This window comes from Homo sapiens, chromosome 10, assembly GCF_000001405.40.
Source record: "Homo sapiens chromosome 10, GRCh38.p14 Primary Assembly".
Taxonomy (NCBI): domain Eukaryota; kingdom Metazoa; phylum Chordata; class Mammalia; order Primates; family Hominidae; genus Homo; species Homo sapiens.
Genome location: NC_000010.11, coordinates 76,521,444 through 76,536,305, shown reverse-complemented (window position 1 = coordinate 76,536,305; position 14,862 = coordinate 76,521,444). Strand labels below are relative to the sequence as shown.

Genomic DNA, 14,862 nt, shown 5'->3' with positions numbered 1-14,862 from the left:
AAAAGAGTTACAAGAGACACCATTGGGAAAATTGGGGAAATGTTACTATGGACTGCACATATTAGGTAACAATGGTGACTTAACATTAATTTTCTTAGGTATGATAATGGTATTATTGTTTCACAGGAAAATGCCCTTACGTATAGGAGACCCATGCCGAAGTATTGAGGGATGAAGTGTGATGGTGTCTGTAATTTATTTAAATGTCTCATTTAAAATGGTATCTATATGCCAGGTGCAGTGACTCATGCCTGTAATCCGAGCACTTTGGGAGGCCAAGGCAGGTGGATCACCTGAGGTCAGGAATTTGAGACCAACCTGGCCAACATGAAGAAACTCCATCTTTACTAAAAATACAAAATTAGCTGGGCATGGTGGCACATGCCTGTATTTCCAGCTACTTGGGAGGCTGAGACAGGAGAATCGCTTGAGCCGGGGAGGCGGAGGTTGCAGTGAGCCGAGAACGCACCACTGCACTCCAGCCTGGGCGACAAGAATGAAACTTCATCTGAAAGATAAAATAAAATAGAATAAAATAAAATGGTATATATAATACACAGGCAGACTCAGAGATATAGGGAAATGGCAAATATGGCCCAATATTAACAGTGAACTGAGGTAGAGAATATATGTATGTTTAATGTACTATTTTTCCAACTTTTCTGTAGGCTTGAAAATTTTCACAGTAATAATTTAGGAGGAAGAGGCTTGTTTTTCTTGGCATATGAACTTTTAATTGGAGATAACTGACCCCATGAGCAGTTTTCAAGTCTCTATCAATTTTTATTAATCTGTATAATGGGCTTCTCTTCTATTAGAAGAGTCCTATTTAAGTGACCTATTTAAGCATTATAAGCTAACAAAAGATTATGATCATTTTAGGCCAACGCATCTTCTGCAAACAGCAATCAGTTGTTTAAAAAATTAGTTAAGAATGGGAAATTATTTGTCCCTCCCCACCTCAATGCCTTCATCCTCTGCCTTCCTCTTCTTCCAACCCCCTCAAGAGCATATATTCCACATATATAATGCATCCTTCTTTTATTCCTTCCTTCCCTCCTTCTTTCACAAAAATGCATAAGACCCATGTTTAATTTGCATTACAAAATGCCTGACTTGAAAAGTTATTTTCTGGTCATGGACTCATGCTTTCTTACATGACACAACTATTTACTGAGAGTCTACGATGTGCTGGGCAATATCCTGGTAGCTAGGGATACGGCAGTGTATCCCTGTGTGAGGATATGCAAGGCTATTGCCTGGCACATAGCAAAGTCTTAGGTCACAGACACTATAATCTGCTGGTGGAAGACAGGCAAGGAAAGCAAGCAGACAAAATTTAGAAACAAACAACTATAATAATTTTAGACATAAATATCATGGAGGTAGTATAATGGGGTGGGTGGATAGAACTAAGAAACAGAATACCTAGATGCTGGTACTAGCTCCTCTGTAGTTCAGGTTTGCAAATTTTGGCAGGTCACATGACTTATGTGAGATCCAGTGTTCATATTTTGAATGGCAATAATAATCTTTGTCAATATACCCCCGCAAGGTGACAATGAGAAACTTCAGCTTCTGAATGACATGTATTATCATTGCCAAATGATAATATTTTTTGGAATATGCCTTGATAATCTGTCATAATTTTTATAATGAGCCATCTTATAACTATCCTGTTACTGCATTAACAAGGATTATACAAGCTGCTGTAACAAATAAGTCCCAAAATTTCAGTGGCCCAACACAATAGAAGTTTACATCTTTCTTACTCAAAAGGCCAATACAGGCAATTTCCTCCAGGTGTAATTTTTGTGGCTCTGCCTTCTCCTATTGAGTCCTCTCATTTGCATCAGGCCAGTGGAAAGGGAAAGAATGTGGAAGAGGCACAGCCATTTCTCAAAAGCCTTGGTCATGAACTGCCACGCATCCCTTCCACGAACATTTCATTGGCTAAAATACACACATGTGGCCATATCTTTCACGAGTGTGACACACTCATGTGACCTCTCCTAACTGCAAAGGAGAATGAAATGAAGTCTAGCTTGGTACCCCAAAAGCAGGAGAAAATGTGGATTTTTGTGAGCAAAAAGCAATCTCTGATATTATGATTACATTTTTTCACATTCTTCCTTAATATGTAATAATGTAATATGTTAAAGAGAATGGAAAGGTTAATTTTACTGTGAGTTATGGGCCAACTATGTACCAAACATAATACTATATTAGTGCCTTGACCTGTGGGGCAAAGCACAGGATCTATCACAGTGTCTGGCACATAACACAGTACGTATTCATAGGTCAATGAATGAGCATCCCACTAGATTCCAAGCTTCATGAGAACAAGAAGTCTGATCTGTCTACAGTCTACTGCAGTCACTTAAGAGCCTGGCACTGTGCCCAGCATGTAGTAACCAGTAAATATGTTAAGGATTTATGCTTTGAAACCTAAAATTATAATATATTTTGTTTCTCAAGTTGAGCATATACATTACAGGATACTCTTGGAGCAAAACATTGATGACATATTTTGCCATGTTAGAGTAGTTCCAAGCCATCCAGCCTTTACCTAAATACTCAGGAATACTTAAATAACTGGCAATGCTGCAGAACCATTATAGCTGTATTTTAGTATCAAAGTATAATAAGCAAGTAAAGTAGACAGTGTCTATTCTTAAAATAGAAATCCATAGGTGCCTTTAACTGAAAATTAAAAACAAATGACCCTAACTTCCAAAGAGCCTCCGTTAATTAATTAAAGCAATGAGTTTGCAAGCTCCTGAATGACAGCAAGTTGTTCTTGGAGGCCAGCATGGGTGTGTAAGAGCAAAAGAAACCAGCAACAATTTCAACAATGAACATAAAGTCAGGTCTTATATGATAAAGATCTAAACACAGTTAACCAAGAAGGGAAAGAAGTGCTCATGACTTTACACAAAGGCATTGTTTTTCATGGTAGAATCAAAGTGCAATGAATCCAGTTGAATCCGGATATAGGAACTGAAGTTGGCCTGTCATGGTCAATATACTCAAGGTAAAATTTAGAATAATCACAATCAACTGGTTTTAGGACAGATTCAATAATATCCTATTTGAAACTAATAGTTACACTTTACAGGTGTTTGTGATTCATTCTCTCTCTCGCTCTCTCTCACTCTCGCTCTCGCTCTCCATCTACAAGTGGTTATTTTTGTTTTGTTACTGGAATGTCAACATTCAAATTAAGATCCATTTCAAAGGCTGCATCTTCTTTGAATAAGAAATTTATTTGTTATTACAACTATGAAAATAATTTAAATAAAAATGGGATATAAAACTCTGAGAATCACCAGGAAGCCATAATTTAACATAAAATCCACTCTGTAGCAAGATCGTAAGAGGCATGTCATATTCATCTGAGAAACACACAATTAGAAGAACTGTGATAACTAAAGCAATGTAACTTTTAAATTTACCATTCAGATTTTGGTTTTCCCAATCAAAAGAAGAAAACAATGCATTCCTAAAGTAAAGGTTCTAACCCTAGGAAAAGCTGAAATGGCTTGTTCCTCCAAACCTCCCATGATGATTCACATGACAAGACTCCTCTTTGCCAAATAAAACTCTCCTTATCATTCAAGGCCCAAATAAAATGCCATTTCTTCTTAGAAGACTTCTCTGATTTCCCCTTGGCAGAATTAATGGTTCCTTGTTTTCTCTTTCTGTGCACTACCCATCACACAACCACTACACATATCCCACTGCAGCACAGTCAAGCATTTGATTGCTATTACTCCCTCTTAAAAGAAATTTACTTGAACCCAAGGATACTGTCTGACTCATCTTTGAAACCACAACCTGTATTGCATGTCCTACAATTCAAAATATGGTTCCAATCTTTGCTGAATGAATGAATAAATAAATGTATAAAGGAACTAACTTTCTCTGTTTACCAAACAGAAGGCCCAGAAGGTTATGAGAAGAATTCATAGTCAAGCCGTGAATTAACACTTTGGTTATGTGATGGCCACAATGATTAAAAGTAGAGGTTTGTGCATGTTCTCACTCATAAGTGGAAGTTGAATAATGAGAACACATGGACACAGGGAGGGGAACATCACACACCAGGGCCTGTCGGGGGGTATGGGAGTAGGGGAGGGATAGCATTAGGAGAAATACCTAATGTAGGTGACGGGTTGATGGGTGCAGCAAAACACCATGGCACGCGTATACCTATGTAACAAACCTCCATGTTCTGCACATGTACCCCAGAACTTAAAGTAGAGGTTTGAAGGAGGTGTAATGTATCTTTTCAAAAAAAGAGCTTAGGACTAAAGAAGAAGTGAATAACCTGAAGGCCTGTATGTCTATTAAAGAAATTGAATGCAGAGTTCACTATTGGCCCATGAAGATAACTCCAGGCCCAAATGGTTTTAATGACAAATTTAACCAATGACTTAATAAAGAATGATAGCAATTCTACACACACTTTTCCAGAAAATTGAAGGGGTAGGAATACTTGCCATGAAACCAGCATTACACTGATACCAAAAACAGGCAAATACATTACAAGAAAAGGAAGGAAAAGTACTGGACAATATTCCTCATGAATGTGCATGCAAAAATCCATAATACACATAGCAAATAAGATTCAGCAATATATAAAAAGTAGAATACATCATGACCAAGTACACTTTATCCTAGAGATGCAAGGTTGGTTCAATATTCAAAAATAAATATAACTGATATATTTATATCAACCAATTTAAAAAAATAAAATCATTTCAATTGATGCAGAAAAAAATGACAAAATTCAGCACTCATAAATTTACGATAAAACTCTCAGCAACACAGGAAAAAAGGGGAAGCTCCTCAAACTGATAAAAGTTATCTACAAACAAAAACTATAGCTAACATCATATTTAGTATCAAAAGACTTAATGCATTTCCTCCACTAGAAAAAAGATGGGAAATTTACTCTCACCCATGTCATTCAATTCACATATTCTCATCTTCCCATCTTGAATTTCCGAGTCTCTTGTACCATAGGGACTGTGTGGCATGATCCTAACGATCCATTACTGGGTATTAAGGTAATTACAGTCCCTGACTGCTTCAGCACAGGGGCTGGTCTCTCCCATATTAGAGAAGCAGTAGGCAGATTCCCAAGGACAGGAAGTGCTAAAGACACATTGAGCAGTGCTTTATTACTGTGACAGTGGCGGGGTAGGGGTGGGGATTTTCTTTCTAACAGTAACAGGAAAGGCATAGCAAAATATCTGCCCCCAAACCTAGAATGATAAGTCCTCTGGCTATCTAAACATTAACATGGAAAAAACAGAAGTTCTCAGTTCTGAGGATCTTTTCATAGAATTATCTTCTACATCAGCATTGAGACCATAGCAGAAAGCCAATTGTCCCCAGAAGCATGGCACATTCTGAAAATCTCCTTTAGCCCTTCACAGAATCAGTTATTTATTTGATCACCTTCTATGTGCAGAACACCACGTGGAGTACGGTCTAGCTCTTTTATGGAATTCTTTCATGGAATGAAAAACATTTTGTGTTTCATTCCATGATACAATTTTCAAACTGCATCTTCTAGTTATAAAGACAAAGCTTCTCTGTTTCAATGAGAATTTTCAACTGAAAGACATTTCATGGAGCAAAACCTTAGCAGATTTCTTGCCTCTCTCGTTCTCTTTCTCCCTTTCCTCCTCCTGCTCCTCCTCGTCATTACAGTCATCATCATAGCTAACTTTATCGAGCTTCCTATGTGTAGGCACTGTGATAAGTATTTTAAATAGATTATTCTCATCACTTGATTTTTAAACAACTTTATGAGATAACTAATATTATTTTTGCCCTTTTTTCCTTTTACAGATTGCCTATAAAATGGATCTAAACAAAAGTCAAATCCCTGAGTCCTTGGGCATAGTGTTTATGTTCTCCTTGGGGCCCACCAAATCAATTTATGATGCAGTTTATGAAAATCCTTGCCCATAGTTTTTACTTTCTCTTCCTATATTCCTCAGTGCATAAATCTATCACAACCTGTGGTTTGTTCTATTGGTTCTGATCCATTTCAAGAAAGAGTAGTCTTAAAAATAACTAGCAGTGTTTCCAAATTTCAGTTACTCTTAGACTCTTCCTGCATTCCAGTTGGAAATCAATCTCCTGGGACCTTTAAATGGCATGTCCATGCTTTCTGTTTTGGGAGCCTATCCATTGCCAAATGAAGATCTCCTCATTGCACCTCTGCTATTAGTGGGCTAAGAGGAAAGTTCAAAAGTCAGGTGTGTGGTAGACACTCTTGATCTTACTGGAAACTAAGTCCCATTGGCAAATCAGCCCTTATGCTTGGCCTCAAAGACTTTCTCTTTGGAAAATAATGAAAATCCAACCAACAAAGTCAAACCTATTGGCCCAAGTCTTCTTACCTCTGAGGATTCTCATACTACTGTACAGGAGGTAGCTTCAGAAATTAGTGACCTTTTTCCATGTAAGAAGACAAAGCCTCCCAAATAACTGGCAAGTTTTTCTTGCCAAAAGGGCATTTTCTACCCAAAAGAGCTATAGTCTCCCTACCAGAGAAGATCAAGGAAAAGTCAGAGTAGAATTCAGGAGCCCGAAGAGCTCTGTCTGAGGAACATGTTCTTTGCCACATTGCTGGATAATTAAGAGTTTAGAGTAGGTAGAACTGAGCCATTAATTGTAGTTTGCAGGCCACCTGCAGCAGAATCTAATTTCTGATCCTAGACATCTACATTTTTAACAGGCTTACTATGATTCTTAAGCACACTTAAGATTGAGAACAAATGTCATGGAATCAAGAGGCAGATAACTTGGGTGCAAATTTCTTTGTCTCTCAATATCTGTACCTGTAAAATGGGGACACTCATAATGTCTCATTCCCCAAATTAAATGAAATTCTGCACATAAGGAGTTCAGCAGTGACTATTAATAGCATTTAGTGAGCCCTTAATTCCCATTGGCTGCCATGAGTCTTGTAAAAATTACATTTGCATAGCATACTAAGCCTTTCCAAAAGACCTTCACAACTATAAAATCATATTATCCTCACCACAATCATAAAAGGCAGTGAATTTTCAATATGCCTATTTTAAAGAGGAGGAAACAAAAGCACAGGAGGTAACAGAGGCTTGGAATGGCAAATGAGATTCATCACCAAGCACAGGTGATGACAGTGGTTGCATACGGCACTGTATTCAGAAGGTTCTGGAGGCCTCCTTGGTGTCATTGACATGCGAGATTTTCTTAACGTCAACCTGCTGTTGAATGGCAGAGTTATTATTAAAATCTGAAAGTAAGGCCGGCTACCCAGTATCTATATTCCTCTTTCATCTTATACACAGAGCCCCTATGCTGTTGAGCATAGCAGTGCTCACCTTGCCTTTTCTTCCTTCCTGCTACTTGGAACTTGGAAAGAAGAGCTAGTGCAACAGCAATAATATGGTGACCATAAATCAAACTTGAGGATGGGAGCCAGTCTGTTGGAAGATAGAACCAAAATCAAAGAAGCCTGTGTTCCTAGTGATATCATAACAGCTATGGACTGCCTACATCTGAAATTCATGTTATAGGACAGTATTTTCTTAAAGCTACTGGTATTTGGGGCTAGTTGTAGCTGAATACAATTCTTAACTAACTCACATAAACTCTTTTTGTTATTATCACTCCCCTTCTCTCTGAAACTATTTTCATAAAGACTATATTGTTGTTTGGGGAGTTATTTTAATTGTTTTCTTATTATATTTAAATGTTCATTGTAAAAAAATTAAGTGTAAATTTAAAAAATAAAAATCATATATAATTCCACTGTCCAGAACTAACCACAGTTAGTATTTGGATGTTTTGCCTTCTGGCCTTTTTTCTGTCCATATGTTGTATGGATGCATTCATATATATCCATCTTCATTTATTTTATTACTTAAATATTTGCCTATCGTATTAAATCTGATGTAACCATCACTTGAATACTATATAACATTGTGTTCTGTGAATGTGCCATAATTTATTTAGCTTTCTTATCTAGTTGGATAATGACTTTTTGTGTGTTTTGATGTTACAAACATTACTATAGTGAATATTTTAGTGTATAAAGATCCTGTGTTTATGCATCTTGGATTCTTGTCTTGGAATAGATTCCTAAGTGAATGCATCTAGCCTCAATGCACAGGGCCAAAATGCTTTTCAAAAACATATTAATATGCACCCAATCCACTCCATAGCACCAGGCATGCCTATTTAAACATCTTTGCTAGTTTAATAAGTGGAAATATTATATCCAAGAGTTGCTTTACTTTTTAAGCATTTGGTTATTATCGAGAGTGAATATTGCTCATGGTGTTCATTACCACATGTTTCTCACTGTGTTTTATGCATTTTTGTATCTCCAACATATACCACACTCCCTGGATTGCAGGAGATGCTCAATATGGCTTCACCAGAAGGATATGGTTATTCTTTATAATAGTGTACCTGAGATGGCCTAAGAAAAATTGCTTTTGGATACATTACAGATTATATTATATCCCATGGAGTTTTAGAGTTTGAATACTGGCAATCCATGAATGATTATAATAATTATAGCTAACACTGAGCTTTTTCTATGCATCACACACTGTTCTAAAAACTTTAAGTAGGTACATTATCTCATTCAACGATTACAACAACCCTATGAAGTAGATGTATTCTTGTCCCCATTTTAGGATTCAGAAGCTAAGGCAAAAAGATGTTAAATCAATGAAACAAAGATTCAAAGTGATTCTAGAATGAGTTTTTACTCAGTGGCTCTAATGTGAAATAGAATCTTGTCAGTGTTTTAGGAGATATCAAGAGGGGAAAAAAAATCATGTCCCTGGTCTCCAAAAGTTCAATCTGCAGAGAGGTTATGTAATTTGCATGAGATTACACTGATAGTAACTTATAGAGCCAAGATCTGGATCTAGACAGTGAGTCTCTGACCCACCTTCTTAAACACTCTGTACAGAATACACAAAAATGGAAGCTGGCACATGGTAGTGCATACTTAATTATCAAAGAGGCAGACCCAACTGTTAAGTGCCCTCAGAAGACAGCACATTCACCATGAGCTGGAACAACTGGGAATGGCCTTCACTATGAAATCATCCTTCACTATGACATCAAAATGGTGGCCAAAGAAACATGGCATTAGAGAGAAGACCTATGATAGAAACAGACAAATGTAGCTCTAAATCCCAGCTCCACCTCTTCTTTTTTTTTTTTTTTTTTTGTCAGACCTGATAATTTAGGGCATTTTTATTTATTTATTTATTTATTTATTTATTTATTTATTTATTTATTTTATTATACTTTACGTTTTAGGGTACACGTGCACATTGTGCAGGTTACATATGTATACATGTGCCATGCTGGTGCGCTGCACCCACTAACTCGTCATCTAGCATTAGGTATATCTCCCAATCTATCCCTCCCCCCTCCCCCCACCCCACAACAGTCCCCAGAGTGTGATATTCCCCTTCAAACACCGCATATTCTCACTCATAGGTGGGAATTGAACAATGAGATCACCTCTTCTTAGTGTAATGGGAATAAATACTCTTCTGTAACAAGGTGGTTGTAAACATGATATAAGTTGATGTGCATATGGCATCTAGCAAAGTTTCAAGTCTTTATTAGGTATACAAAAAATGCGATTTATCTTACATAGGAGACACTATGCATTGGCTCCCTTTTATCCTGCCTTCCTCTACTATAACAGCATGAAAACTGAAACATTTGACTTTCCAGCCTCCCAATGACATGATCTGGGTAATGAGAAAGAGACAGACATCTTTAGGAAGCTGTCTATCCACAAATGAAAAGCGAATGCCTCATAAGGGAAAGACATCCTTCTTCATCTTGCTTTGGGTGAGGAAATGATGCCAGGAGCAGTAGCAACCATTTTGAGACCATGAGGCTAAAATGCACATGCTGAAAAGGTAGTAGGACAGAAAGACAGAAAGGACCTGGGTGCCTACTGATCTGCTCTTTCAGCCACTATCACTGTCCTGGGCTGCCTACCTCCATTCTCACTTCTGAGTGAAGAAATTAATGCCTATGCATTTCAGTCACTATTTGTTAGATTTCTGTTGCTGAACACTTTTCTCATGATTTGAGAGAGTTCCTTGTATTTCCCTAGACCACAGAACACACATATTTGAGTGACATATCACCCATCATCAAATAGCCAATGTGCTACTTTTGTACAGTCAAAGATTGCTTTCTATAGGTAGGACTCAGGACACCAGGTTTAGGTTGCAAATTGTGAATCTAATACTTCTGTTCATTATCAGCCAGTTGGGGAGCTGGCTGGTTATAGTCTAGAATTAAATGTTGTGGTCACTTAATGAGATTTTAATCCCCAGGGACAAGATGAGTGACAGGAATTTGGGGAGTACTGTATAGCTGATACAGAGACAAACAGGTCAGGATTCAAATTCTGGAATTGCTACATACTAACAGTAACCACAAATAATTAGCTTCAATTCTCTTGACATCAGTTTTTGCCTCTATAAAATGAAGATAATAACTCTTATCTTCTAGAGTTAACAACTAAGATCAAGTATTGTATTATATGTAAAACAACTAACACAGTGACTAGAAATCATACTGACTAACAAAAAAAATAGCCGGAGTTATAAATTACTAAAGACCATAAGAAATGTAGTCCGCCATTCACTTACCTGCCATTTACAAGAACCTATTATAGGCCAGGCCCCAGGACACTAGAAGCAAAGAAGAAAATCAGGTTCTTGCCTCCTACCCCCTACTGTGGAGCTTATATTCACACGGCGGAAACACAAAGTGAACAAACAGGTAAAGGACTCAATCCTCTAAGAGGGTAGAAAGAGGTAGGAAGAAAAATAGAGTTTAGGACTTCAGGAGCAGTAGTGGGTGAGATGTCATCATGGTTAACAGTGAGCCATGCTTCGGTTTTCATAACAGAAAGTTTCTCCCCATTTTGCTTAAGGGATGATGAAGGACCAATGAACCCATCAGTTTGGTTTACTAATTTAGTATCACATAATACTGATTACCTATGAAACTTAGGCCCATTAGAAACACAAATTCTTGTGATTTTAACAAAATTATTTAACACATAAAAAGGTGCAATTCATATCTTTTGCAAGATCTGAACACTGGATAAGTATCACAACCCCTGTCCCTTTTTCTCATCCTTCAGCCTCATCTTGCTATCTACTGAATAATTTTCTTCCAAGCCCTGCCATTGAATGTGCCCTCAGACACTGAAGAGGACCTGAGACAATTGGTTGCAGAAGGGACATTAAAAACACGATATCCTTTGTCTAAAACGTTTCTAATTATTTTTATAAAGTGTGTGTTATTTTCTAAGACCCCATGCTCCACTGACATATTTAGTTTATTTTATATGTGGAGGAAAAAAAATGAAAAGCTGAACTAAGTCTGTATTTTTCTGTTCAAGTGAAGCCATTGCTCTCCTGTGTCTCAGCCTGTTTTTGTCCAGCGAGATGGCACTGCCACTGGCAATTTCCTTTCTCTTTTAGCTACCCTGGTCCTTCCAGACTCACGGCAGAGGTACAAAATATTGACTTGAAAAGTAATTAAGATATAAGTATTCCAAAAGAGAACACATGGTTATTCGAAGTCATTGGACACCGTTCAAAAGGAAAGATCTATGGAATACAAGAGCTGAGAGCCATCACGCTGTTTCTCCTCCACTTCTCACATTAAGGAAAAAGACTAATTATAAATCTCCAGCAAATATGACCTGGTAAAGAGTTTTCAAACAAAAGCCTGCACTGAAAAGGATATCTGGCAGATCTGGGTACTTGTTTTCACTAATAACCATTAAAGTTGTTCCTAGTAAACCATTTTACAGCAACATTAGAAATATCAGAGTTTACGTTTTCGTTAATGAATTGCTGCAGAATGTAAGCGCTGCACCACGTCTCCAAACGGCTCCCATCCTCGCTTTGTCTCCGTTGTGCTTTTTTTCTCCCTTAACATTTCATTTCCAATGACACGTCAGCCGTCTTTCACCAACCTCAAAGGAAAGTTGAATGCGGGGCTCACAAAGTTAAGCTGACATTTGCTCCCTTCCAATAAAAAATATTTAGTCCATTAAACATAAATACCTGTCATTATGATACATGGACTGGGTGCAAACCTCCCGGTTCCCTCTGATGTTTATTACATCCAAACAACTGCAGTGCCTGCATGTTTTCAACTTTAGTGTATTGATTAAACTTTTAAATGGCTGCCATATAACCCAGGGACAGCGGGAAGATTAATTTGCGTCAATGTTCATCTGTAATTCATTAGCCATTTATTCTTTACAACCACATGGGCTATCAAGAAAATGCAGGCCATTTTTCACTCGGCACAGGCTGAGAACAGATTCTGAAATTTGTGCTGCATACAAATAAGTTCCCTGGGCCTGGCCAGCCAAACTGCTTGGCTTTTCAAAAGTTAAAGTTGGGAAATGGCAGCAGGGAAGGAACGTCAAAAACCAGAAATAGGGAAAAACACACATCCTCAGGGTGCTCAAGATTTAACTGAGTTTGTCCACCATCTTTTCATCCATGGATTATGGTTTCTTATTTCAGCCGGATTAAAATAACAGAAACTTGTGCCTGAACGAGGACCATAAATAACAAGAGTTGCTTTTTCCCATCCCTCCCTTCCCACCCCCCTTTCTAATATCTCCTAAAAGGCTGTTTCTGGCAGAAAACTCCAGCAAGTGGCAGAGAAGTAGAAAAGTGCATAGCCTAGAGGAACTTGGAGCTGTGATCTCAGGGACAGTGGCATTTGAACCAACTCTCTCTCCAACAGTGGAATCTCACCCCGCCTTGAGTTGGGAAGGTGCCCAGCTAAATAGCGGCGTGTTTCCTGAGGGAAGAGGTAAGCCATCTGGCTTCTCCATGTGCCCTCCTGACCCCCTTGGCAGAACACAAAATGCATACTAAAGGCATAAATGGAATAAGCACCCCAGTGGAAAGCCCTTCGACACACAAGCCACTTTGGGGAGGGAAAGAAGGAAGAGTCTGCGTGAGCTCAGGTCGGGGCTGGAGGACAATAAAGCACACGGGGGAAATTTTTCTTCATAAGGATGAATAATTAAAGTGGAGAGCTAAGTGCCCAGGCCTCACTGTAGTTAATAACTGCAATAGCAAGCAGAAAAAAAAAAAAATCAATGGTCAGTATGACATCTGGGGAAGATGGCTGGCAGGTACCCATTTGCAGGACATGTGAAAGCCAGTGTGCAGCTGTACAAGGCAGCAACTCTTTTTCTCTGGTCTGCAGTGCCCACAAATATCAAAGGCACCAGGCATATTGGTAACTTTTGGTAACAGTGTCCATGAAAGAGCCCACAGAAGAGGCCTTGGGGATGAGGCGGTAAATTACCCATTTATAATATAACTGCTCAGGCGGCTTACAACTAAGGATAAAAGGGAGCCCTCCACAAAGGCATCCATCCATCTGGAGCCATCCTTGTCCCTGCCCAGGAGTTGCCCGCACCAGAAATCAGCAGCATACAACTTTTCAGGCCCTCAGGGAGAGGTGGCGGGGGATCATCCTAGAAATGCAGCTTGAGGAGTTTTATTCGGCTTGTGGATGTGACGTGTAAGTTTCAAAAGAAATGCACATGAGTTGTAGAAAAATGCACTGGATGAAACCTCAAGGTCATTAAATCCAGCCCACTGCCACGTATAAGATCCATCAACTTTATCTGTTTTTCTAGTAACCAGTACACTGGGCTTTGCATCTTGCGAGAGCTCAATACATATTTGCAGAGTGATTGATTCATTCAACCTATGCACACAGATTCATTCAACCACTCAACAAATATTTATTGACTGTTTATCATATCCCTGGCACCGTTCTAGAACTAGGATAAAGTGGGGAACAAGTGTAGCTGAAAACACATGGCAATAGGGTACTTCAATTATAGTTGCCTTTTGCTTTCCTGTGGAGGCAAGGGACTTTCTAGCATCCTAGGACACCAGTTTTAGAGGACTAGGGCTATGTTCTTTGGTCTTCCTATGAGCAATCTCTGAAAATGGTGGTGGTTAAATAGCTTATGTTTTGTGAATTAATTGGATAAGAACTAGGATAAAATGAGTCTGAAATTCAAGAAAAACTCAATATACACATGTTTATTGAAAATTTCAGTTAATCTTGATTCCAAGCATAAGTTTAACCCCTACAAGTGAGGTTTGGGTAAGGGTTTATTTTTGGAGCTGAGACTCCACAAATATGCTACTTGCCAAATTTTCTATCATAATTGGCCTTGAGTTTGAGGAACAAAAAGGAATTTTGTGAAGGTTTCAATCACTTAAGAAGCAAATACTGAAGACAACTGTGTCTGCCACACTTTTGGGGAGATATTGTGGGGTATAAAGAATAAATATAAGTCATTATCTCTAGTCTCATGCAAGGACCTTACAGTCTCTTTGGGGAAACAAAATTAATACATGAGAGCTAACTAATACACAATAACAGAGAATTGGGGCAAAATGCTTAACATGCTTTTTTCCTCTTAAATAATAACGAAAAAATATTTATATCTGAGGGAATCAAGTCAACTGGAGTACTAGAACTCTCATACATAAAACTGGTGAATGAAAGCCACCTGAAAAAACATTTCAAGAGCCTGAAAATGCTTTTCGCTTCTCTCCCCTAAATTCCAATTCTTGATGTTTATTCTAAGGAACTAATTCCCCAAAGAAAGGAAAGCTACACAACAAAGATTTTCTCTGCAGAGCTTTTTATGATAAGGGACAGGTAGTAAAGCAAAGATTATTTAAATAATTATGTATTGACTCTATGGACCATTGGATAGTCATTAAAATG

General features: G+C 38.2%; 1 protein-coding gene across 3 annotated transcripts in view, besides 1 other annotated feature; it reads right to left on the bottom strand.

The window, feature by feature from the left end:
- Window positions 1-14,862, bottom strand: part of LRMDA (leucine rich melanocyte differentiation associated) — a 1,128,545-nt gene that overhangs the window by 23,863 nt on the left and 1,089,820 nt on the right. The window lies entirely within an intron of this gene.
- Window positions 11,076-13,472: an enhancer, noted in NCBI's record as "VISTA enhancer hs1434". NCBI's record gives its function as "enhancer in: neural tube[6/7] | limb[7/7]" and the evidence as "EXISTENCE:transgenic organism evidence [ECO:0001131][PMID:17130149]".